Source organism: Homo sapiens, chromosome 3 (assembly GCF_000001405.40).
Source record: "Homo sapiens chromosome 3, GRCh38.p14 Primary Assembly".
In the NCBI taxonomy this organism is placed as follows: domain Eukaryota; kingdom Metazoa; phylum Chordata; class Mammalia; order Primates; family Hominidae; genus Homo; species Homo sapiens.
Genome location: NC_000003.12, coordinates 183,380,154 through 183,407,736, shown reverse-complemented (window position 1 = coordinate 183,407,736; position 27,583 = coordinate 183,380,154). Strand labels below are relative to the sequence as shown.

Sequence of the window (27,583 nt, the reverse complement as noted above, 5' to 3'; positions counted from 1 at the left end):
AGACCTTGACATATTCTGCAGAAATGAGAAGGAAAATTCCACTACACAAACCTCATATGTGAGGTGACCATTTTCTCCCTCAGTGCCTTGGGAAAACTGACCCAGATTTTAAAAAGAAAGATCATGTTTCCTGGTCATTTTCTGTGGCTTTGCAGTAGAATCTAAAAAAGAAGCAGAAGAAAGAGGGAGGAGAATGAGCATTATGTGATATTTCATAAGGGTTTCAAAACCTCTGTTTATAAAACTAACATATCATCCATATTTAAGGTTTGGAAGACTCAAGATGTCAATTCTTCCCAAATTGATCCATGAATTAAACACGACTTCAATAAAAAATCTATTGTATATTTTTGTAGAAATTGAGAATCAGCTAAAAGAGATACTATAGTAGGCAAAAAGAACTATAATAACAATTTTTTTTTAAAAGAGTACATTTGGAGGACTCACATTACCTAATTTTAAAACTTACTTTAAAGCAAAGTAATCACGACAGTGTGGTATTGGCAAAAGGATAGACATATAGATCAATGGAGCAGAGGAGATATTCCAGAATAGTATCATACAAATATGGCCAAATGATTTTTGACAAAGGTATAAAGGCAGTTCAGTGGAGTATGATGTAGTGGCAATTTCAACAAATGGTGCTGGAACAATTAGACATCTGTGTGCAAAACAATTGAATCCTTATGTATACCTCACCCCATATAGAAAAATTCACTCAAAGTGGATCATGGACCTAAATGTAAAACCTAATAAAAAATCTGTTAGAAAACATAGGAGGAAATCTTTGTGACCTTAGTTGGTCACAAAGACCAAAAGTCTGGTTCATAAGAGAAATTTGATTTAAGTTAGATTTTGGTAACGTTGACATTTTTTTTTCTCTGCAAAAAATACTGTTAAGAGAATGAAAAGACAACCCACCATCTGGGGAAAAAAGATTTGTGAATAGGCTGGGTGTGGTGGCTCACGCCTGTAATCCCAGCACTTTGGGAGGCCAAGGTGGGTGGATCACCTGAGGTCAGGAGTTCGAGACCAGCCTGGCCAATGTGGTGAAACCCCGTCTCTACTAAAAATACAAAAATTAGCTGGGCATGGTGGCAGGCGCCTGTAATCTCAGCTACTCGGGAGGCTGAGGCAGGAGAATCGCTTGGACCCGGGTGGCAGAGGTTGCAGTGAGCCGAGATTGTGCTACTGCACTCCAGCCTGGACAACAAGAGCAAAACTCTGTCTCAAAAAAAACCAAGACTTGTGAATAGCATATCTGACAAAGGACTCGATCCAGAATGTATAAAAAGAACTCTCAAGCTGAGTAATAAAATACTCAAATGACCCAATTTAAAAATGGGCAAAAGATTTGAATGGATACTTTATCAAGGAAGATATAAGATATACAGATGGCAAAAAACACATGAAAATATGCTCAATATCAGTAGTCATCAGTGAAATTGTGTACCTGTTAGAGTGACTAAAAAAAATGACGATACCAAGACATGGTGAAGATGACAAGGGACTGGATATCTTACACGCACTGTTGGTAGGAATGTAAAATGGTACAGCCATGTTGGAAAACAGTTGGCAGTGTCTTATAAAGTTAAACATACATTTAATATACGACTCAGTAATCGCAACCCAAGAAAATGAAAACTCACGGTCACTCAAAAATCTGTTCATGAATATTTATAGCAGCTTTATTCTTAATCAGTAAAACCTAGAAGCAGGGCCAGGTGTGGTGGTGGCTCACGCCTGTAATCCCAGCACTTTTGGGAGGCTGAGGCAGGCAGATCACTTAAGGTCAGGAGTTCGAGACAGCCTGGCCAGCATGGTAAAACCCTGTCTCTGCTAAAAATACAAAAATTAGCTGGGCATGGTGGCTTGCGCCTATAACCCCAGCTACTGGGGAGGCTGAGGCATGAGGATTGCTTGAAGTCGGGAGGCGGAGGTTGCAGTGAGCCAAGATCACGCCACTGCACTCCAACTGGGCGACAGAGTGAGACCCTGTCTAAAAAATACAAAATGAAACTGGAAACAACCCAGGTGTCCCTCACCTGGAGAATTGATAAACTGAGGTACATCTGTCCAGTGGCATATTCAATAATGAAATGATTTATTGATACAGATGATAATATGAATACATCTGAAATATATTATGCTAAGATAAAGATGTCAGATTCAAAAGGTACATACTAATCTTTCTATGATACTGGGAAAAGGTAAAACTATAGGAATGCAGTGATTTCCAGGGGTTAAGGGTGGGTGAGTGGTTTGACTCACAGGGGCAATCAACTATATTGTATCCTGATTGTGTCGATGCTTAAACGACTCCATGCATTTGTCAAAACTCATAGAACTGTATTCCCAAAAGAGTGACTTATACTATTGGTTAAAAAAACAAATTTAAGAAGAATTAGCAAACAAAAACAATACAGAAAAAATAATACATGCTCATTGTTCAATATTTGGAAAATACAGAAAAGTACAAGAAAGAAAGTCTATAATCCCATTTTCTAATAATAATCAGTTACCTTTTGAGCTATATCTCTCTAGCTTTTTGTTCCTTTGGCATTTTTACATAGTTAAGATTATATGATCTAGCTTTCTTTATATGTATAATACATATTACAGATAGAATTATATAGATTATATTCTGCTTATGAAAACTATACTGTACATTCAATTATATTGTAAATTCTATTAAGACATCTCCATAGATAATATTTTAACGGCTTTATAATTTTTTGCTACATGATTTCACCATAAATTACGTTGTTCATATAGGTTATTCCCAGTTTCCCAATGTTATTTTTAAGATGCAAGGAGCATCTTTAGTCAGAAATTTTTGCACACATTTCAGATTTTTTTTTTCTTTCTGTTTTTGAGATGGAGTCTTGCACTGTCGCCTGGGCTAGAGTGCAGTGGCAAGATCTCGGCTCACTGCAACCTCCGCCTCCCAGGTTCAAGTGATTCTTCTGCCTCAGCCTCCCGAGTAGCTAGGATTACAGGCGCCCACCACCATGCCCGGCTAATTTTTTTGTATTTTTAGTAGAGACGGGGTTTCACCATGTTGGCCAGGCTGGTCTCGAACACCTGACCTCGTGATCCACCCATCTCGGCCTCCCAAAGTGCTGGGATTACAGGCGTGAGCCACCACGCCCAGCCCATATTGTTTTACAAGTAGAATTCTAGAAAATATTATTGGATTAGAGAGTGTAAGTGTGAAGTTTTTAAATACGTTTTGGTCAGATTGCCTTCTGGGAAACTTACACCCATCAACAGGATGTGGGGTTCTTGTTTTCACTTGATCTGTTTATCAGCACTTGTGATTTTGTATGACATATGAGCTAATGACAGAACTTACAGGGTTGTTTTAAAACAATGCATGTTAAGGGAATGATGCCGTACCTGTAATATTAGCCTTCTGGTGATGCCTATTTTTATTGTTTCTTATTTGAATTTTTGCTTGTTTGATAGATAAATGTGTTATTGTATTCATTTTAATGAATTTTAAAAAATTATGAGTGAACTCTAATGATTTTAATGTTTTTATTAGCTGTTTTATTAATATTTGGCTTGGGACCAAGGTATTTGTGCATAAATTTTTTAAATGTTAAAGTTATTAAACCTTTCTTAAGTTTATAGAAGGTTTTTTTATTCTACAGTTTTCTGTTTATAATTTTGTTTTTGATGTCTTTTAACATAAAAGGTTTAAAATTGTATGTAGTCAAATCTATAGATCTTTTATTTTGTTGTTTTATAACCATCAGCTTAGCTGAGCCTCAAACCACTTTTTAAACATTTTTTTCTTCTTTCCCTTTTCCTCTTCCCCCTGTCCGTTTCAAGATATAACTTTGACACAAACTGCATGTATGTTACCTCTCATCTTAAAAGACAGCAATGGAATGTGCTGTGAACCTCCACTCCCTTTCCTTTCCCATACTATACTCTCATGCCTTATGAACATTTATTTACCTAATGCTTATTAAGCACAGACCATGCTGTCTTATCTGGTCATATATTTCCGTAGAAGCTTCAGGAGTCAGATCCTGATAGGGACCAGGCACCTCCAGAATTCTCTCTTCAACAAAAGATTCCTTCGAGGATGGAACCCACACCCAGCTGAAGACTGACTAATTTACAACCTGGCAGGATCCACAAAGGTGCCAGCCCCTTCACCAAATGAGACAATAATTCAAGAAGGCCACTGGAGCAAGTCTCGCCACCTGGCATCTCATAGGCCCATTTGCCTCTTCTACTTTCCAAGCTCTTTGTTTAAAAACCCCCATGTTCCCTCCACAAATTGAAGAGTGGAATTGCTTTCTACTCTTCCCCTGCTAGCACGGATAATACAATCTCACTCTCTCTTATCACAAGTCGTCATTATTTTTGACTTCTTTCCACAAACGGTGAGCGCTAAGACTCTTTTGCTGGTTATAATTTCTTCTGTTGCTTTTATTTTATTTTATTTATTTTGAGACGGAGTCTCACTGTTACCCAGGCTGGAGTGCAGTGGTGCAGTCTCGGCTCACTGCAACCTCTGCCTCCTGGATTCAGGTGATTCTCCTGCCTCAGCCTCCTGAGTATCTGGGATTACCAGCACCTGCCACCACACCCAGCTAATTTTTATATTTTTAGTAGAGACGGGGTTTCCATGTTGGCCAGGCTGGTCTCGAACTTCAGGTGATCTGCCCGCCTCAGCCTCCCAAAGTGCTGGGATTACAGGGATGAGCCACTGCACCTGGCCTCGTCTGTTGCTTTTTATATCCTTCCTCAAGTAAAGAATAAGTAAATAATCATCAAGTGTTTTTTTTTTAAGTATCTTTTAGTGGTTTTATTTTTTTACACAACTTTTAAATTTCGTATATATATATATATTTTTTGTCTATGATATGAGGCGAGACTCAGTTTCCTCGGTAGCATTTATTAAGTATTTTTTCATTGATTGGCAATGCCTCACTCTTTACATATTGTTATTTTTGAATTTATAATCTATTTCTTGGTCTTGTTTCATTCTTTTTATTTTATTAGTGCTAACATAATAACTTTAAAATACCTGCCAGGAGAAATTCTCTTTTTCAAGCATTTGTTTTTTTAAAAACCTTTTTTTTGAGACATGGTCTCCTTATGTTGCCCAGGCTTGTCTCGAACTCCTGGGCTAAAGCGATCTCCTGCCTCAGCCTCTCAATGTGCTAGGATTACAGGTGTGAGCCACTGTGCCTGGCCAAAAAACCATTTTCTTAACCCTTCTACCCTCTAGCCTTTTATATTCTTTTTTTTTTTTTTTTTTTTTTGATGGAGTCTCGCTCTGTAGCCCAGGCTGGAATGCAGTGGCGTGATCTCGGCTCACTGCAAGCTCCGCCTCCCGAGGTCACGCCATTCTCCTGCCTCAACCTCCCGAGTAGCTGGGACTACAGGCACCCGGGAAAAACCCACCACGCCCGGCTAATTTTTTTTTGCATTTTTAGTAGAGACGGGGTTTCACCATGTTAGCCAGGATGGTCTTGATCTCCTGACCTCGTGATCTGCCTGCCTCGGCCTCCCAAAGTGCTGGGACTACAGGCATGAGCCACCGTGCCCGGCCTATATTCTTTCAAATAAACTTGATAATCATTTCATTAATTCCCCCCATCCCCACAAACTTACTGTACTTTTAACAACAACAAAGAACTAGCTCTAATTACTCAACAGAGTAGTCTCTAATCTTGAAGTGCTTTCTAGTACAACTGCTTTGGGAAAAGATTTGACAGTTTCTTATAAGTTAAATATACACCTACCCTTTGACTCATCAATACCATTTCTAGATATTTGTCTGAGAGAAAGGTAAACATGTCTACACACAGGCCTTTACATGAAGATTCACAGCAACTTCATTTAAAACAGCCCAAGTTGGGGAAGAACCTGAATGTCCATCAGTAGGAGAATGAACAAGCAGTAGCTGTCCATACAATGACATGAAACTCAGCAATGAAAATGAATGAACTACTGATACCTACTGTGGATGAATCTCAAATGCGTTATCCTGAGAGAAGCTAGACACAAAAGAATCAATACTGTATTATTAACACCATATGATGTTTTGGAACAGGCAATACTAGTCTCTATCGAAAAAAGTCACAGTGGTGGTTGCCTGGGAACCAGGGTTGACTGGGAAGGGACTTGAAGGTATCTTCTGGGGTTATGGAAATGTTCTGCATCTTGAAAGAGGGATGGGTTACATGGATGTATTCTTTTGTCAAAGCTCACCGAAATGTATAGTTTCATATTTGTACATTTTTATCCCTCCCCCCAAATTAAGTTAAAAACCTTTAAAAAAATTTTTTTTTTAAAAAAGTCTTCCAGTTTCTTGTTGGCCAATGGCAAGGCTTACTCTGAAATTTTAGCTTGAATGATACAAAGATGAGAAGCTTGTGTAAAAACATTTATTACTTGCTGATTGGCTATTTCACATTGTGCTCTTTCTTTAACTATGGAAACACATTATTAATAAATACCATTAAGCATGAGGAACCAAAATAAAATGCATCAGGAAAAGGCAGCCTCTCTCTGAGTATATCATCCTCTCTGCACGGCAGTTTGAAAGGTGAACTCACTTTCCCCAAGTGGTAGTGAGTAGGCTCTTGATCACATCATGACAGGCAAAGAATATCCTTGTTTGAGAATCAGACTATACTTGCACCTGATCTTCAGGAGTCGTTCAGGAGGCGCTCTACATCCTGTCTCAGGATCTGAACCTTTACCGTTTGCCGTGTCAATTTAAGGTGCCTGCTCAGATAGTGAATCTTACTGGCTGCAGCGTTAAGCCTCTGGATTTTATTACTGGCAGCCTAGAGAGGTTAGAAGAGAAGGAGGGTAGAATTGTGGCCTGGAATAAGTTTTTATTTTTTTTTTAAATCATCCTTTACAAAGTTTATCCCTATCGTTTTATTTTAAGTATCTGGTGGCCTGATTTGTGTCTTGTGATGATGTGATACTTCTAAAAAAAAAAAATTCTGATTCTCATTGAGGCTAGGATGTCCCTCGCTGTCATCCCCCAGTTTTCCTTTTGTTTCTAAATGAGTACGTCTGATAATCTGCTGGGGCTGTAATCCTGTGAGCACTCACCAATCAAAAGGATCAACTCTCGGCCACGAAATGACCTCGAGTGAACTTCAGGGAGATTAACCGGGAGAAAGGATTGAACATTTCTGTGTGAGTGCAGTGCCTAGAGAGAAATGGAGAGCGAGCGAGGTGGCGCCGTTTCCTGGAATCCAGTCGTGGTCTGGTGCATGAAGTGTGAGCAGCAAGATCCTAGATACTCACCTTACACCTTGGTGCGGATAACAGAGGCAGAGATGAGGGCCTATCACCGTTTAGTAGGAAGTTGCATCAGGCTGGAATATATGGCAAAAAAAGGTAGTGTGGAAGCAAGGATGCATGTGTTTTATGTATGTGTTTTATTTCTCCTCATTCTTAGCATAATGATTTAAAGCGAAGAAATTTTACATTAAAAAAAATCTTACTTTGCAGTACCGTCTCAAGTTTTTTGTGAAGAAGTTTTAAAATGACTTTTTTAAAAAAAGCATTAATTAGCTATTACAATATTGTAGATGGTCATTTATTGATATGTTCATAGGTAGATTCATAATAAAAACATTTTCTGAAAAATTAGGTTATAATATGGAACGTGTAAGTATGAGCTTGTTTTGAAAGCCTACATATGTCTGCACATACATATATGTGCACTGAATATTGTATACCAATGAGATAACTACTTAATTTTGGTTGAAGGAATAAGTTTTACTTAATTTTGTTTGGTTGTATTTTCTATTTTTTAAAATTACCAACATATCTTGCTTTTGTCCAAGTGGTAGTAAGTAGGATCTTGGTCACTTCATGGCAGGCAAAGAATATCCTTCATTTGAGAATCAGATTGTACTTGCAGCTGATCTTCAGGAGGAGTTCAGGAGACGCTCTACATTCCGTCTCAGGATCTGAACCTTTACCATTTCAATATTTCTATATTTCTTCTATTAAAATGAAAATAAGAATCCAGATTATGAAATTCATATTCCTGAAGAAAAATGTCAAGTCTGAAAGGCTTCATGTTAGATGCATGAACTGATAACAGACTGATGGTCTCAGAGTAGAAAAAGAAAAGCGCTTCCCTTCGATGGGCTGGTGAGAAGAATCATCATTTCTAAGTGTGCTTTCCGTGTACTTGGAAGCCAGCAGGACAGATGTTCTCAAAGCTGAAGCAGCTACTTGTTTCTAAGACTGCTTCTTTTAGAAATGCACTTATTGGTATGCTCCCACCTTTTTTATTTTTATTTTTTGCCTTGAAAATGTTTATAATACATTTATTCCCTTTGGATCACAGGCCAGAAAAGGTGATTAAAGCAAATGTCTTAGGCTCTCTCATTACTCTTTATACTTGGAACCTGTTTCTTCAACAGTGGGAAGTTATTAAATGAAGTGTGCTTTAAAAATAATCATTGTTGCAGTATACTTTCTGATTGAGACATGATTCATAGTTATATACCATATACTTATATAGTAGATAATGCATAAATTATATTCTCAAAGGCAATGGCTATTATATATTTGCTACTTAGAGAAGGACAACTTGTTAGATTTTGCTTTCCATATTTAAACATGTGTGCTCACCTGCGCATGCACACAAATCCTTACAAGGCTTGAATTGAAGTGTATATATATGATTGCCCTAATTTTATTAAAATTAAATTATTACAAGAGCTTTCCAACTCTGTTAGTAGTGAGGAGAGGAAATAATTTGAAAGAAGAGTAAGATTTCCAAATCCTAAGCTCACAGCATTATATATGCCTTCTTTTTTTCCCTACTAAAGAAGATTATGAAACATTCACCTATATTCTTTAGCTGTCAGTCATTTTATTCTGTGACTCAAGACAACAGTGAAAGTTGAGTATGTTAATGTAAGTTTTGTGAGTATCTAAAAGACCTTTCTGACATTACTGCCACGTTATATTCATGAGATACTGTCAGCTGACTTTTCGGACTAAAGCAACACTGATTAGGGGAATTAAACTAGAGATAACATGCTGATTGGAATATGCGTTAATAAAGACCCATAGTTTATGTAATTGTTGGGGAGTCAGGAGAGTTAGCAATTGGGTGTTTGCTTTTCCACTGACTGTCCCTCCTCCCTTTTTTCTTTTTTTAAAGAAAAAAGCATATTATATTTATAACATATGATTATAAATATATTATATTAATATTATAAAATGAATTCCTCTAAGTTAGAGTAGCGCCAGCTGCTGTAACAAACACCCAAATTTCAATGGATTAATAGATTCCAATACACTGTCCTCAGTCAGAGAGCTGTCTTCTCTCAGTGTTTTAGGGACCCTGGCTGCCTCTATCTTGTGGGTCTGCCATTTGCAATACTTGGAGTTGTCACCTTGCAGCCTGGGAGAGGGAAGAGAGAGTGGCGAAAGCAAACTTGTTTTTTAAATACCCTAGCTTAGAAGTAAGACATCATTTTTGCTTACCTCCCATTGGCATTCACAGTCACATGACAATAACTGAAGGTAAAGGGGTGGGTGGGAGATTGAGTCCCTGGCTAGACAACTGCCTTTCAGTGGTAAAGCTACTGTATGGAAGAGGATCTGTGACATTTTGATGGGCAGTTAGCCATCTCTGCTTCAATGGCTCATTGCAATTGAACTTAGGCAGTACCTCTATACATATATACATATAAACATAAACAACATTCTGTTCTCTATCTCACTTTCTTTTTAAAAAACTTAATGTATTTTAAACCTCCTTTCCTGTCAGTAGCATAGATGTATCTGATTTTATTTAATGCCTCCGTAGTATTCTATGGCTTTATCATCATTTATTTAACCAATCCTCTATTAATGGTCATTTGCAACAAAAGAACAAGCTATAATAAACATCTTCAAACCCATTTATTTTGTACTTGTGTTAATATTACCTTAGAAATCCCTAGACATGGAATTTCTTGGCTAAAATGCTGCATATTTCATATTTTGACAGATTTTCAAATTAATTAATGGAAAGATTGTACCTATTTATATTTTACTCATAGATAATCTGCCTACACTCTTACCAACCCAATCTTATTCATTGTTAAGATAATCACTAATCCATCAGGCAGAAAAGATCTCATTTTGTTTTAATTTAGATTTCTTTATCCATGGTTTGAATGTATGTGGCCCTCCAAAATTCATATGTTGAAACCTAACCCCCGAGGTGATGGTATTAGAAAGTGGGGCCTCTGTGAGGTGGACAGGTCATGAGGAATCCACCTTTGTGAATGGAATTAGTGCCCTTATAAAAGAAGCTTCAGACAGCTGCCTCCCTCTTCCATCTCTCCTGCCACGTGAGGACTCAGTGTACACCCCTTTCGCCCTTCCACCATGTGAGGATGCGGCAAGAATGCACTATCCTGGAAGCAGAGAGGAAGTCCTTGCCAGACACGGAACCTGCTGGTGCCTTGGCCTTAGACTTCCCAGTCTCCAGAACCATGAGAAATAAATTTCTACATTTGTAAATTACCCAGTCGAAGGTATTTTGTTATAGCAGCAAGAACAGACTAAGACTTGTGGTTAAACATGTTTCAATATAAATTTATTGGCTATATTCTATGAATTGTCTGTTTTCAGTCTATGCCTATTATATTAGTTTCCTGTGTCTGCTGTAACAAATGACCATAAAACTTGATGGCTTACAACAATAGAAATTAATTTTTCTCACAGTCCTAGAGGCCACAAGTCCACCATCAAGGTGCTGGTAGGGCCACTCTCTAGAGGCCCTGGGGATGATTCAGTTTCTTGTCTCTTCTGGCTTCTGGGGGCTGTAGCTATTTCTTGGCTTGTGGTTGCATCATTCAGATATCTGTCTCCATCTTCACATGGTTTTCTCCATGTTTCTGTCTTCCTCTGTTTCTCTGTCTAACCTCCTTTCTCATCTCATCATACTATTCCATATTATTGCATGTATACTGAATATACAATAATAATAATTATTATTATTGTTTTGTCCACAGACCATTTCCAGCCAATAGGCTTCACTGTTTATGGGCCAGTGATATGTGAATTAATAATAAATATATACAGAATCCATAAGTCATTACTTATTCCATAAAATATATTTTTTCTTGCCTTCATGTCAGCAAAATCAGTGTTGGTATAGCTGAGATTTTCACTTTGAACTGTTGAGAACAGTCATCTAAAGTCAATGTGATCTAAGTAAAATGTAATTGTGTTTAACAAGTTCAAACTTTGAGTATATTTGCATGATGAATTACCAAAAGAAAACTAAGAGCATTGATGCTTGGTTCTATTGGACTGGCTATGTCATTACCAAAGAATCTACAGCATCATGCTATGTGAGAGGAAGGATTTCTCAAGTTAATTCATTTATTTTTTCTCTTATCTAAGCACTTCCACAGTTCAAATCCTCCCTGCACTCTGAAGCAGTGTGTGTCCCTGATGTCAGCAGTGGTGCAACCCACAAACCACCCTAGCATTTGGATGCGGTCACATTTTCTTTTGAGGACATAAACCAAGAGCTGTGGAGTATTTCCCTGGGTCTGAGCAGCGTTAAAAGAGTAGATTTCCAGGGCTATGTGCACCTGCCAGCATTGAGCACTGGACCATGAGTGCCCAGGGCAGCCAAGTGTTCTTTAATACATATGTTCATGGGGGGAGGGTGTGAGATACTGAGCCCTCCAAAGTGAGGGTCTGGGCAGGCGGTGCCACGAGGAACTTTCTGGAGGTGGGGGGAGGGGAATATTCCATTTCTTTCTTTCTTTCTTTCTTTCTTTTTTTTTTTTTTTTTTTTTGAGACGATGTCTTGCGCTGTTGCCCAGGCTGGAGTGCAGTGGCATGATCACAGCTCACTGCAACCTCCGCCTCCCAGGTTCAAGCAATTCTCCTGCCTCAGCCTCCTGAGTAGCTGGGATTACACGCACGTGCCACGACACTGGCTAATTTTTGTATTTTTATTGGAGACGGGGTTCTACCATGTTGGCCAGGCTGGTCTCAAACTCCTGACCTCAGGTGATCCTCCCACTTCGGCCTCCCAAAGTGTTGGGATTACAGGCATGAGCCACTGCACCCCGCCGAATATTCCATTTCTTGATCTGTTTGATGGTTACATCAGTGTATATTTGTCAAAATTCCTCAAACTGTATGCTTAAGGCTTTGTGCATTGTATTGCATGTAAATTATACTTCAATAAAGTACCAATAGCATAAAAAATAAAGGCTACCAGTGCATACTTTTCCGTATGTAAACTAAAGGGGTAACCACATATAATTCCATCACTTTAACACAACTGTTTCATATATTCTTTTCTCATACACCCACACATATGTGCATAAACATATCACACGCTTGGTTTTTTCTTTCTTTTTTAAAATCTGACTATAATCTCACCACTTGTAGGATTTTTGTGTCCTTGACATTGTATCTTAAATCTTTTTCGGTGAATGTGGGTCTTTATACTTGTATAATGATTGGTTCCATTTTTTCACTCTGGTAAAAACATCACAGTCTATGCCATTACATATAAAGTTTTTATTATGTTCTCATGATACATTTTCAGATATAGGATGAGTGCATAAAATATTATGGAGATTTTAATGACTGTAATGGTTAAGACGTTGGGCTTTGGAGGTCAGAATGAGCTGGATTCAAGTTCTGGCTCTGCATGATCTTGGACAAGCTACTTCAAATCTAGTTCAATATCATCCTTAGAGTAGATTTAAGGATTAAATGAGGTTGCATATATAAAGTACTGGTATGGAATCGACCACATAAGTGCTCAATAATCACCAGGTAAAAGATTGAGAAACGACTTTCCAAGAGGATGCTACCTGCTTCACTCCCTGAGGTTCTGCAGAAGTACTGATTTTCCAATATAACCCCAGCATTGTGTATTAGAATCTCAATTATTTTATGGATGAAGTGAGATATTTTGTTGCTGTTTAAGTTTCATTTGTTGATGACTAGGAAGTTGGACATTTTCTAGTGTTCTTGATTTTTAAAATCTTTAAATTTCCTTCTAAACAATTATTCTGTCTGCTTTCAAAAGCCTTTACTTCATTATTCATTATGGATAAGATAAAAGTCACTGTTATGGGGCAGGTTAAGCATCGCTATAGCGCAGGACCCAGTAAAAGAAGGAAATATGTTTGTGTTATTTCTGACCTGGCCAATAAAACAGAGCAGTGAAATGCATTATGCCCCATGGGCTGGCTTTTTGTACCAGCCCGGCAACTGGTGTCTCTGAGCCTCTGGTCCAGAGTTTCCTCAGTGGTCAAGTCCAGTCTGGTTGTGGAGGTAGGAGGGTGGGGCGGGCTGGAAGAGGTTCATTTGAGTGTTAGGGCACATTCCTTTTCTGTCATTGTGCAACTGATTCAACCAGTTAATCTGTGACGTGCAAAGTTAGTGTCCAGCTCACAGCTGGTGCCCTATTCATGTTATTAACAGTTAGGGTCTTGTTACACAGCGCCTGAGAGCAGAGATCCTGGTTCATGGCTTGTTACGCGTTGTTGCAAACTCAGTTGTTGAGATCTAGTTTGATCAACTGGCAGATCCTTCTGTTCCTTCTGTCCCCTTGAGTCTCTGGGCAAAGCAGTAATGTCACAGGGTCTGCCAAACTTGGGGCAGCTGTTCTCTGCTCCAGACCATACTTTTTCCCCCTTAACCTAGGTATTTATTTATTTAGTTCTTTTTCTTTTTTTCCCCTCAGATCATACTTGAATCTTTTAAATCATAGTGTGACAGAAATTTCAGAAGAGCAAGAGTGGGAGGCTAAGGGTCTCACTGCCCTTTATCCTTTAGCAGTTGCAGCAGTCAGACAGTGTTGAGATATCATCAGCCCTGTTTCCTGCCCTCTGTTGTAAGGAGGATGGCTCCAGTCATTAGCAAAGGTCCTGGCTCCAGAGCGCATGCTGCTCTCTCAGCCTGGGAAGTGGGCAACACAGGGATATTGCTTGCTGCCTGCAGTGGAATTCCCATGGGACATGCTGGACTATTATTTCATCGCGTAAGAGTCTGGAGGTTGTGTTTGGCCTTTGATACCGTCTGTATTTCTGGAACTGTGGGCTCAGGGTAAAATAGAGTCACACTTCTGTGTACTTATCAAGGATAGAAAAGAGACAAGTTTTTCCCTAGTATATTTGTTTGCCCAGGATAGAAATTGTGTTGAAATTGAATTATCACTTCCCTTTGCCTTGTGTGGGTAACAAAGAGACAAGTTTCTGCCAGGCGCAATGGCTCACACCTGTAATCCCAGCACTTTGGGAGGCCGAGGTGGGTGGATCACCTGAGGTCGGAAGTTGGAGACCAGCCTGACCAACATGGAGAAACCCTGTCCCTACTGAAAATACAAAATTAGCCGGGCGTGGTGGCAGGTGCCTGTAATCCCAGCTACTCAGGAGGCTGAGGCAGGAGAATCGCTTGAACCCGGGAGGTGGAGGTTGCAGTGAGCCGAGATCATGCCATTGCACTCCAGCCTGGGCAACAAGAGCGAAACTCCACCTTAAAAAAAAAAAAAAAAAAGAGACAAGTTTCTCCCTAATCTGTGCATGCCAAAAATGGCAAAGAAGCAGGAAGCCTCCACAGACCTCTGTGAGGCCAGGGCAGGTGTGTAACAGGCACCAGCGCCTTGGTGGGTCATGGTTCTGCTCACCTGTTCCTGGGAGAAGGAAAAACCCTTTTACTGGTGAGAACACTGAGACTCAGAGTGTACTTGCCCTGATCACCTATCTAGAAGGTGGCAGAAAGGGCCTTTGCATGCAAGCCTGTCTGAATCTGAAGCAGATCCTTTCCCATTGCAGTGGAGGTGTTCTTTCAGAACCAAAGACTTCTTGTACTTCCTCCCCTACCTACCTATACAGGAGTGGGAGGCAGGGCCTGCCAGCCGCAGGGTGATCTTTGTGTCTCTTGGTGTAGAGCATAAGTGTACTTTACTGGGGGCAGAACAGAGCATGCCCTATTCCAACAGGACCACAAGTGTCAGGCAACTGAAGGCTGGGTGTATCTGCAGTCATCTCCATGCCGAGTCAGAGGATGAGTCTGGGAAAGCCTCATGATCTGTTGCAGCTGGCCAGGTTGGGTCATGTGGCTCCTTTGCTAGGAAGACTTCAAGGATAACCATGTCACTTCCTGGCTGGAGAGCAAGCACTCTCAGCAAAACCTGCACTTAAAGCAAAGCAGCTCATTGCTATTCTTAGAAAAACAAATTATGAATTTTAGTCCTGTTCATTTGATAGCCACAGGAGGCTAGCGAGAAAGGTCTCTTGTCGGGGGCTGGGGGGATGGGCAAACCTCAGATTCCCATGACACTAGTCAGCCTCTCAGGGTTGCAGGAGCCTTTGCAACTCAAGGCCAAGGGTCTGGGAACTCTATCACGCGTGGCCGAGGTTTGCCCTCTTAGCGTCAGGTGATCCGGGCTCTACAGTTATTTGTTGTGTAACCACAGGCAAGTTTAGGATCTCTCTGGGTCTCCATGTTGTCATTTGAAAAATGAGATGGCGTGGGGATCGTTGACTTCGCTAATGTCTGCTCCCCTTTCAGATCTTACATCTTTAAAATGTTTAATTTAAAGCACACCTCAAATATTGACATGTAAGAACAATAAATTACACCTTATGATTTTTGTTTTTCTCTCGGTTCATCATCTCTGAAATATGCTTGCTTGGCCAGGCGTGGTGGTTTGTGCCTCTAATTCTAGCACTTTGGGAGCCCAAGGCAGGAGGACTGCTTGAGCACAGGAGTTCAAGGCTGCAGTGAGCTATGATTATGCCACTGCACTCTAGTCTGTGTGACAGAGCAAGATCCTATATCTTAAAAAAGAGAAATCAAAAAAATGCTCAGGTATGAACAAATAATACTGAAGCTCTATTTCTGAGTATGCCACTGTCCTAGACCACTGGGAGATTGTACTCTGAAAACTCTTTAATTACATAACTTCCGTTTCTGCTGAAATTCTCTATGTTGTTGTCTACTTGTGTTTTACATTTTATTACAGAAAATTTGAAACGTAGCAAGAGAATTATGTAACAAACCCCTGTGGACCCATCAACCAGCTTCAATAATTATCCACATTTTGTCAGCATGTTTCATCTACCCCCCACTTCCACCCCATGCATAGTTTTAGTGAAGGGGAGTGCTGGAGTATTTGTCAGCAAATCTCAGACTTCATATCATTTCACTGTTAAATGCTTCAATTTGTGTTTCTAACAGAGAAGGCCCCCTTTTTATAAAATGTGACTACCATGCCGTTATTACACCCACCGAATGAACAGTGACGAAGGAGTTCTTTGAACTTTTAGTGAATTCAGGGTGGAAGTGGTATTGGGATGAAGAAGCTCTGGTCTAGATTTATCCCCTTTACCCAAAACAATGGGGGAATTCATTGAAGGGGATCTTGGGGCTTAAGCTGGCACTTGGCCCACCCCTTACAAGACTTTCAGAAAAAAACAAAAAAAGGCTTTTAGAAAGCAAATTTGGGAAAGGCCTGTCTGTTCAGAACAAGGGATATAACTAGCATTTGCTCAGCACCCTCTATATACATCTCCATATATATTATCTCCTTTAACCTCCACACCAAAAAGCTGAGAGTAGACCAAGACTCAGAGAGGACCTTCCCAAATATTACCTTCTGATTGGTCAACACTAGAATATCATAATGTTACCATGACCCCATAATGAATCAGTAGGAAATTCCCACCTAGCATCAGAGCACAGGTTGTTTGGTTCATGCCTTAATCTAACTAGATGTTTAACTCCTGTAGAAACAATAACCAGTTCATTCATTTTTTGTTATTGTTTTTGTTTTGTTTTGTTTTGTTTTGAGACAGGGTCTCCATCTGTTGTCCAGGCTGGAGTGCAGTGGCACAGTCATGGCTAACGACAGCCTCAAACTCCTAGACTCAAGAGATTCTCCTGCCTCAGCCTCCCAAGTAGCTGGGACCGCAGGCATACATCACCATGCTTGGCTAATTTTTAAATTTTTTGTGGAGACAAGATCTTACTCTGTTGACCAGGCTGGTCTCAAACTTCTGGCCTCAAATAGTCCTTCCCCCTCGGCCTCAGTACCCAGCCACCAGTTTATTCTTTAAGATTCCCTGGGAAATAATTGAATGAAGATAATATCTTAGGCAGAGATAACATGAAAATGCCTTCCTCTCTTCAGCCTAGGTTGAAAGATTCCAGTTGGTCCTCCCCTCTCTCTAATTCCTTTTCCCCAAATGGAAATGAGGGCAAATCACAGGGCTTATAAGTCACTTTCTAGGGTTAGAGGAACTTTGTAGATTTGTGCTTGAAAGGATTGGATTTTTGCATTGGAAACCTATATAACTTATTATTCAGTTAGGAGAATCTTTAAATAGAAAAATGAAAAAGTGCCTTCTTATATACATTTAGCAGTAGGAAGAGGCCCCTTAAAGTATTCTGGAAGGGGGAAAAAAAGGAATGGAGATAAGTAGGGGAGGAAGGAAGTGAGGTAGGGAGGAAAATAAAAATTAAAGAACCCTCATGAATCCCAGATTGATTTTATGACCTGTTTTGAAAGGAGCTCTAGTAACTTATGTTGTTTGTGTTTAAAATGTCCTTCTGCAGACCCAAAGGTGTAGGCAAATACCTGCCTTCGTAATGAGGTCATCCAGCAGGTTTTCTGTGAAGCTGCTGGAGCTTAAACTTCAGGGTTCTTTCCTTGTATTGGTCCCTCCCAAAGCCTTGGTAGGGGCTCTAGAAATGTGTTCCACGCTCAGATGCATAAGCTCCAAAGCACACAAATCCAGATACAGCCCTGGATCTCAGCAATCAAGTTCTCAAGGGAATGTTGTGCCAGCACCGTCTCTTGATAAGTCCCAGATTTCCCAATAGTACAACTTGCCTTTGTTTCTTTTTAATTTCTTCTTGTAATTTGCACATGTTTAACTAACCCACTTTGTATTTCATTTGTGCAGATGAAATTATGCAGCAGGAAGTCAGACCCCTGATGGCGGTGGAGATAATAGAACAACTTCACAGACAATTTGCCATTCTTTCAGGTAAGGGGCACATTCATTTGCATTTCCAGATTTTGATGGGGGGGTCTTGATGGGAAGGTCCAGCCTCTTGAACCTTGAGGAATGTTATACTCAAATCTCACTCACCCCTTAGGCTTCACCCGGGACTAGAACAGGCTGAGGCCTATCCTGCCAGAAGAGGGTGGGATCTCATACATATTATTCCCTTTGCTGTTTGGTGCAATCTGATCTTTCCCAAAGGAGCACATTTCTTTGTGGTTGTAAATAACAGAGCTGAAAAGATTTTGAGGAAAGAAAAAGAGACAACTACTGACATCAGCTGCCACCATGATGTTCTTCCAATGTTCCTTTGGATGTTCTTCCAAGATTCAGCCTTACAAAGGTCTTAGTTCTAAGGGTTCCCGAGCGTTGCTGAGGTTGTTTGTTCTCTGGGAGAATTGTCTTTTACTCTTAGCTCATTTAAGGGATTTCCATCAAGCATTTGATTGGGAATGAAGAGAGGCTGTTCTGACTAAAAGTCTAGCATTTTTTGAGCCTAGACACAACCCTGAAAGGTTGTCATGACTTGAATACTGTTCTTTCTTATTCGCTCAGCCAAAGGTGACATGACTTTAATTACTAAAACTAGAAGTACATGCCAAACCCCAAATTATGGTTAGACCCAACTTAGGAGAATGAAGTGGTGACATTAGATATCCTTAGTATATAACATGGAGGGATAAAGTGGCAAGTTACTCTTTTCAACTTTTACATCTGTTCTGAAAAAAACAACAAAGCCATCTTAGTTACATCACAGAGAGAATATGTAGTTGGTGTGAATTTTATTCTACAACATGGGATATTAAAAAAAAAGTCACATCTCTTTCTTTTCTCCAAATCACATTTAATCTGCTCCAAGCTCCTCATCCCACTGATTTGAAGGAGATGCGAACTCAGTTATTATTGGGATATTTCTCCCCACCCCAGCATTGCCTCCTGGGTGACCACATCTTACACAATCCAGGACATTCTGGGGGAATTCTCTGGTCTTTCCGCCATATCAGTCACTGCGCACATAGTCACTGAAAGCTCCATAAATACAGGGTCCTCCTTTTTCTTCTTTCTGTCTGTATTGCCAATGCTTAGATCAGAGACTGGAACATAAAAGGTGCTCAGTACAAAAATATCCAAGTCCCTGTGGTCTATTCTGCGAGGCCGGTGGTCTCCCTGCTCCCCAGATGCCTAGTTAGGCACCATTGGCCCCTGTGGGAGGACCTAACCAGCCTCCTGAAGGCACAGTCTCATGGCTTCCCACTGTGAGTCTGGGCTTGCGCAAGACAAAAGGCAGAATGGGGTCTGTTCTCTGGGTTCCTGGAAACTGTTGCCCTACCACAGAAGGCCCCGAGACCACCATGCAGCTCAAGGTCTGGAATGGATGACAGGGTGGGCTGGGGTCAGGTAGATTCCTAGAGCCTTAGACTAAAGCTCTGAGGCCTCAATGCATGATTCTGGCTTATATAATTACACAATGGCTCATCTCAGGAATCAGTCTAGTGACAGATTAATTAATACATTTATGATCCAAATTTATCTCCTTTGAGTATTATTGAGGCCTTTCTTTCTGTTCTTATGACTTAGAGGCAATATAGAAAAAAACATGAACTGGTATCAGACAGCTCCAGATATGAATTTGGATTCTGTACTTACTAGCAGCATCACCTTGGGCAACTTACTTCTCTAAACCTCAGTTTCCTCATCTGTATGATGGGGTTATTGTAACTTCTTTTTTTTTTTTTTTTTTTTTTTGAGATGGAGTCTTGCTCTGTCATCCAGGCTGGCGTGCAATAGCACGATCTCAACTCACTGCAACCTCCACCTCCCAGGTTCGAGTGATTATCCTGCCTCAGCCTCCTGAGTAGCTGGGATTATAGGCACCCGCCATCATGCCCGGCTAATTTTTGTGTTTTTGTAGAGATGGGCTTTCACCATGTTGGCCAGGCTGGTCTCGAACTCCTGACCTCAGGTGATCCACCTGCCTCAGCCTCCTAAAGTGCTGGGATTACAGGCATGAGCCACCACACCCAGCCAGTAATTTTGAGGATTAAATGACATAATGTATGAAAAACACTTAGTATTGCAACTGCTGAATAAGTGTTTCTCTTTTTTTCTGATATCTTTTTATAGTTCTATAAAATGTTTATTTTGGGGTTCTATTACAAGTAAGATAATTTTTATAAGGAACCAATGTCATGCTCACAATAAATATGGTATACAATGCCACCATTGAGTCAGGAATAGAGATAATTGTCACTCCCTAACGTAGAACAGAGAACTGTGGAAACACACACTGGGCGCAGAAGACACTTCTGCTTTAGGAAGGTACTTTGACCATAATAAAGATAACCCTTCATTTCTGAGTTCCTTTTGTCATTTAAGTTTGTCTTCTTTTTTTCTTTGCTTTTTTTTTTTTTTTGAGACATGGTGTCGCTATGTTGCCCAGGCTGGGGTGCAGTGGCACCGTCTTGGCTCACTGCAGCCTTGACCTCCCAGGCTCAAGTGATCCTCCTACCTCAGCCTCCTGAGTTAACTGAGACTACAGGCAGGCATTGGCGCACACCATCATGCCCAAAATTTTTAAATTTTTTGTAGAGATGGGGTTTTGCCATGTTGCCCAGGCTGGTCTGGAACTCCTGGGCTCAAACAGTCTTTCCATCTCAGTCTTCCAAAGTGCTGGGATTACAGGCGTGAGCCAGAGTGTCTGGCCCAAATTTGCCTTTCTTATGAAGCAGAAGCATGGATTCGCTGTGATAGTAATTACAGCCTTGCAAGTCTGCAAGAATAGCGGCAGCCGTGGGTCTCTCTGAGTCAGCACTTTGTTTGGAATCAGAGGCCTGCTTTTCATCTTTAACCATCTCTCTTATTCTGGCAGAAACAGCAAGTGTCAGCAAGGAGGCTGTTGTGGGGGCCTGTATAGTTGTTGCTGTAAAACAGAAATCTCTCTAATTAGGTCTTTTCCCATGGCTGTGGTAGCCTAAGAGCTGCAGCCTCAGCCTCAACTCATAGCAGCTTCCTTTTCCTGATTCAGGCAAGTAAGGTAAAGATTTTCCCTACAAAATTTTCTACCAATTTCACTGATCTCTGGAAGGAGCCAGAGACCCTGTCAACCGGGAAGGCTGTGAAGGAGAGGATAGAGCCTTTCCCTCAATGCAGCCCTAGCTGCCTGGTCTGCTGAACTGTGCATGTGTTCCCACGGCTGGTAGAAGAGCAGAGGCTCATTACATGAAGCCTGACCCAGATTTGTGGCCCGATGGTTTGCGGCCTCTGGATGCGAAGCCTGTGAGCAGGGCCACCAGCGGGAATTGGATATTGACCAGGGCTGGGGCCTCTGGTAGCTCTGACGTTGGAAGACACCTGCATGTTCACAGTGAACTTGGGATATTTCTAAATTCAGGGCTTAGCTAGGAAACAAGAGAGTATAAGCAGGTTAGTGTGGTGGAAACACTCTGGGCTTTGGACCCAGACAATTCTGGGTTCACATTCCAACACAACCAGTAGGTGGCTCCAAACCCCAGTTTTTCATCTGTAAGAAGAAAAGTTTCACTCAGCATGGTATCTGACTACAAGGGAACTTAGCCTCTGAGACTTGTTGGTTTGTTTTTTAAATTGCATAACGAGGTCTGACGATAGAAACTCTTGGTATTGGATCAGTGGCTCAATGACATTAAGGCTGACATCTTTATGATTCTCTTGATGTTTTCTTCTTATTTGTCAACTCTTGATTCAAGGTGGCTGCTGCAATTCCAGACATTAGGTCAGTGTCCAAAGCAGGAAGAAGGAGAAGGAAAATGCTGGCTTCTTTGGTTCTGTTTGTAGAAACTCTTGGCTGCCTTCTGCTTATGTCTCATTCCAGAATTCTGTCACACAGCCATTCCCTGGCAGCAAGAGAATCTCAGAAGGCAAGCATTTAGCTTTCTAACTGCCACAGGAGACGGTGGTCAGGGAAAAGGGGACTGGGAGTGAATTAGCCATCAATCAACGTTTGCCACAGCTCCTTTCCTTTAATTATAAGGAATTGTCCTTTTATATTTATCTTGATGGTTGTTTCCCACTTGGAATTATTGTGAACTGAATCTCTCTCTTTCACTTTCTCTCCCTCTTTGCTCCCTTTCTCTGCCTGTCTCTTGTGGCAGCTTGAATCCTTTTGAAAATAATTGATGAAGAAATCAACTGCTCAATACTCTTAGGCTTGTAGAGTCCCCAGTTTCACCTCATACACACCAATGAAGCCCAGGTTTGGTGGAGGGTAGGGCTCCCAGGGGTGAGTGGGAGGCTCCTAACTGAAACAATGGAAAATGTCAAACCAAGGAAGAGATCGGAGCCCCAACTCCTAGCTTACATATGGAGCTAGTGACCTGAAACCTGGGAGGTGAGAACCAAGGGGCGACATCTAGAGCAGGACTGTTTAATAGAAATACAGTGTGGGCCACACATGTACTTTAAAATTTTATGGTAACCATATTAAAAAGGTTAAAATAAACAGATACAATGAATTTTAATTATATATTTTAAATTTACCCATATCTAAAATAATATTTCCACATGTACTCGATATTCAACATTTTTGGGATTTTACCTTTTTTATTCTAAGTCTTTGAAATCTAGTTTGTGTTTTATACTTACAGCATATCTCAATTTGGACTGGTTCCATTTCAAGTGCTTAATAATCACATGTGTCTAGTGGCTGTTGGATTCGGTAGTGCAGGTGAGAGGGAAGGTTCTCAGTCATGTTTGACTGAATATCTCCTTTTTATAACAAATGATTTGTATTGCCCTCTGCCATCCTAACATAAAATTTATAGATACTATATCTGCAAGGGTGGGCTCAACAACTACAACGAATATACTCCAAAGAGTATAGAGCTCCAACTGTAACCACCCTAGGGGTTCACCTTGCCTGCTGCCCAGACAGAACCAGGGGAATTACAATAGAGAAAGAGTAATTCATGCAGAGCCGGTTGTGTGGGATACTGGAGGTTTGTTATTACTCAAATCAGTCTCACCAAGCATTCAGGGAACAGAGTTTTTAAGGATAACTTGGTGGGTGGGGGGAAGCCAGTGAGCCAGGAGTGCTGATTGGCCAGAGATGAAATCACAGGGAGTCGGACCTGTCTTCTTGTGCTTAGTCAGTTCCTGGGCGGGGGGCCACAGATCAGGTAAACCCATTTATTGATCTGGATGGTGCCAGCTGATCCATCAAGTGCAGGGTTTGCAAAATATCTCAAGCACTGATCTTAGGAGCAGTTTAGGGAGGGTCAGGACCTTGCAGCCTCCAGCTGCATGACTCCTAAACCATCATTTCTAATCTTGTGGCTAATATTAGTCCTACAAAGGCAATCTAATCCCCAGGCAAGATGGAGGTCTGCTTTAGGAAAGGGCTGTTACCATGTTTGTTTAAACTAAACTAAATTTCTCCCAAAGTTAGTTCAGCCTACGCCCAGGAATGAACAAGGAGAGCTTGGATGTTAGAAGCAAGATGGAGTGGGTTAAGTTAGATCCCTTTCACTGTCTCAGTCATGATTTTGAAAAGGCGGTTTCAAAACACACATAACAGAAATTAAGTTCTTACTCTTTTACCAGTTCTGCATGTATGTTCCTGGTCAGCAGACAACTTTTCTCCATGTGGAGGTTCAGGAATGAAGGCTCCTTTGAGTTTCTGGTTCTTATTGTTGTTATGCGTGTCTGGGGAGCAGACAGGCTAAGAGAACATGGAAGGAGCATAGTGCTTCTTAAAATTCTCAGCTCAGAGATAGCATACAGCACATTCCATTGACTTGAACTTGTCACAGTCATTTGAACAAACTTAACAGCAAGGGAAGCTGGGAAATGTAGTGTAGCTATATGCCCAGGAAGGGAAAACTTAGGTGAACAGCCACACCTACCTATGCACATATTTTTAAAAATTAAAAAATAAAATATAAGGAACTGTAAAGGAGGAATCAAAGGAAACTAATTATAGTAAAGTAACATATCTTTCAATAGTATGTATTTCCACATGCATGTCTAGCTACATGAGAATAATGAAAGAGGTGCTTGCCCCTCAATTTGGAGTCACCAAAAATGTGATGGGTGCAAATGCTGGGATGTGGTGGGGTGATCAGATACCTGGAGTGACTTTATTAAGATTAAAAAAAAACCTCTTGGCCGGGCATGGTGGCTTACGCCTGTAATCAATCCCAGCACTTTGGGAGGCCGAGGTGGGCGGATCACCTGAGGTCGGGAGTTAAGAGACCAGCCTGACCAACACGGAGAAACCCCATCTCTACTAAAAATACAAAATTAGCCGGGTGTGGTGGTGCATACCTGTAATCTCAGCTACTTGGGAGGCTGAGGCAGGAGAATCGCTTGAACCCGAGAGGCGGAGGTTGTGGTGAGCCGAGATCGTGCCATTGCACTCCAGCCTGGGCAACAAGAGTGAAACTCCATCTCAAAAAATAAATAAATAAATAAATAAAATAAATAAATAAATATAAAAATTCTTTATGATTATTTGTAAAAACAGAGTCTAGGTTCAGAGCATTTTAAATGGATTTTTCACTTAAATTAAGCCTCTGGTAAGACATTTGGAAGTCACGTAGCATGTGGGGCAATTCTTTGTTTTATTATGGAGAATGGGTCATTTAGTATCCTAGGCCCTGAGATTTCCAAAGTGCTTACCAGGGAATGGTTCTGCCATTTCCCCAGTTAAAACCTTGTGTAGAGGAGAAAGGGAAAATAGATACTGGAAGGCAAAGAGCAGTAGGAAGATGCTTTGCAACCTTCCCCATCATTGGTCTTTGCCATCTTCCTGTAGGATTTCCTGTATTCTCAATTCACCTGTGCATGAAGCCTTCATGCCAGCTATCACCAGGGCCCTTTCAGCAATCACCTTATGTACCCCAAGCGCTTAATGTTTTCTGCACTAAAACTATTTGTCTTTCACTTAATGAAAAGGTACAAAATCATAGTAGGAGGAGTAAAGTTTATTTTAAGTTATCATTTTACTTAGTACCAAATAATTTGGGGTTGTTTGTATTCCTTGCATTCAAGGAATGCACTGGACTTTGGAATAATTATTCTTTCTTCCTATTGCATTACCGCGTTTCCTCAGAAGGTGGCACTAGATGCCATGTTGTAGGTTGCCCCACAGTTAAGTCCAGCTCTGTTTCCTTGATGCTTCTGCCTCTTAAGACTAATATTCAACAGTAGGTGGGTGTGCACAGTTAACCTTAGGGCCTCTCTGCTGTTCAGTATTGGTAGTAACCAAGGTAGAAGAAAACTTCACCTTTTTTCATTTAGGTGAGGATGGCTTTAATACAGTCAACTATAAAAAGGTAAAATTGGCCGGGTGTGGTGGCTCAACGCCTGTAATCCCAGCACTTAGGGAGGCCGAGGCAGACGGATCAGTTGAGGTCAGGAGTTCGAGACCAGCCTGGCCAACATGGTGAAACCCCGTCTCTACTAAAAATACAAAAATTAGCTGGGCGTGGTGGCATGTGCCTGTAATCCCAGCTACTCGGTAGGCTGAGGCACAATAATTGCTTGAACCTGGGAGGCGGAGGTTGCAGTGAGCGGAGATCACACCACTGCAGTCTAGCCTGGGTGACAGAGCGAGATTCCATCTAATAATAATAATAATAATAATAATAAAAGGTGAAATTAAATGGCATAATCACATTCTAGTGAATATTTTAGGGTATTTCAGTTCCTTGAAATGTTTTAGCCAGTCCCTCAGCAAATGTTGATTATGCAATTACTACAGTGTTATAATGCATCTTAATTTAGCTTTTCAAAGACGCAAATTCTCTGAATGCACATTTCTCTGAAACTTCCCATAGTTGTGAAACTGCAAAGAGGAAGAATATTATTAGATGAAAGCTGTTAATATCCTCATCAGTCACTGTAATGAGGTAGTTCAATATACTTGTCTTGATAAACATCTAATCTGTAGATCTCATCTTTGGAAATTTAGAGTAAACATATAGGATTAATAAAGAGGTACCTTCTGTGGAGGGATGACTGACCATCCAGACAAATCTCACATGGTTTCGTTCTACAGCAATTGGTTTCTGAGCACCTAAGACCCATATTAACAACACTCACAAGAGACTCATGCAGAAAAACCACAGCGCTAACTTATTCTTTACATAATATACTTATGTTTGCTCAATAACACATTCCTTTTCTTGAAACAAGTTTACAATTTACTTGGAAAATCAGATTATAAACAGAAGATTCTTATCAGGCTTGGAGTCAGCACCAGAGAGTTGGCTGGATGATCTTACAGTGGTGTCATCAGATAGACTGGTAACGTGGGTTGGACTCTCAGAGTGGGCTGGCCCTCTCTCCTTAGAATAGCATTGGCTGTACACTGCCCGCCTTTGCTCCTCTGAGTCCTCCTCTTCTATAGTTTCTTCGTGGACCACACATCCTCATTAATCACACAGTCCCCACTAACCACACCCCACACTGATATGTGTGTCTCAGATATGTTGAATACATTCAGTCATTTGTAGTTGGCCTTGCCTTGAGAGCCATGATTCCTCTTCAAGTGGTTTCTCTTCAAGGACATAACTTGGGAGGTGCATGCAGCTTAAGCTCCTATACTACTGGCTAGGGCAGAGGTTCCCAAACCCTCTCAATTCTCTGCGCCTTAGCATCTCAGTCTTTTTTTCATGGCCCCCCTAGGCCAAAAGCAATAACTAACATGTCAAACAACTTAATATGTATCTATGTCCTAACAACTTAGTAGCTGTTTGAAAAAATAATACATATAAATTAAAATATTATTTTTTCTCTCATTTTTATTCTTAAATAACTACAACTATCTTAAACCTTGCAATCAAACTAGATATCACCACCTTTATGTCTTGTTCCACATTGATTTGCACACTGTTTTTGCTTTTTATTCCAGCAAGTACCAAACCCCCAGCTTTATAAAGATGCAACACCATCTGCAAGAATATAATGCAATTTGATGTTGAAGTTGGGAACTACCTGGGCTGGGCGTGGTGGCTCATGCCTGTAATCCCAGCAGTTTGGGAGGCCGAGGCGGGTGGATCACCTAAAGTCAGGAGTTTGAGACCAGCCTGGCCAACGTGATGAAACCCCGTCTCTACTAAAAATACAAAAATTAGCTGGGTATGGTGGTGCACGCCTGTAATCCCAGCTACTCACGAGGCTGAGGCAGGAGAATCGCTTGAACCTGTGAGTCAGAGGTTGCAGTGAGCCGATATTGCACCACTGCACTCTAGCCTGGGCGACAGTGCGAGACTCTGTCTCAATAAAAGGAAAAAGAAATAGGGAACTACCTCAAGTAGTTCATATGGTAGTAGTAGTGCATATGGTGTCTGACAGATGTCAACTGTCACTGTGTTTCCCTCAAAAATTTAAAACAGTCACAGTGCTCCCATGAATTTACTGTGGTTCCCTGCTTACCTGCGACACAGTTTGGGGACTGTGGGGCTAGAACTTAGTCAAATGGCTCCATGCAGCTGCAAGGGGACTGGGAAATAGAATCTATTGAATTTGGTGGTCTCTGCTCTGAA

General features: G+C 40.9%; 1 protein-coding gene across 5 annotated transcripts in view, besides 1 other annotated feature; it reads left to right on the top strand.

Moving 5' to 3' along the window:
• Positions 1 to 27,583, top strand: part of MCF2L2 (MCF.2 cell line derived transforming sequence-like 2) — a 250,579-nt gene that overhangs the window by 20,883 nt on the left and 202,113 nt on the right. For all 5 annotated transcript variants that reach the window (NM_015078.4, XM_017005943.3, XM_017005945.3 and 2 more), the window contains exon 2: positions 17,958 to 18,041. In NM_015078.4, the coding sequence (NP_055893.4) occupies positions 17,958 to 18,041 (84 nt within the window). The remainder of the gene's footprint in view (positions 1 to 17,957; positions 18,042 to 27,583) is intronic.
• Positions 6,846 to 7,347: an enhancer, noted in NCBI's record as "NANOG hESC enhancer chr3:183118178-183118679 (GRCh37/hg19 assembly coordinates)". NCBI's record gives its function as "activates a minimal SCP1, AML or CMV promoter by ChIP-STARR-seq in primed H9 embryonic stem cells {active_cell/tissue: H9 hESC(primed)}" and the evidence as "EXISTENCE:reporter gene assay evidence [ECO:0000049][PMID:30033119]".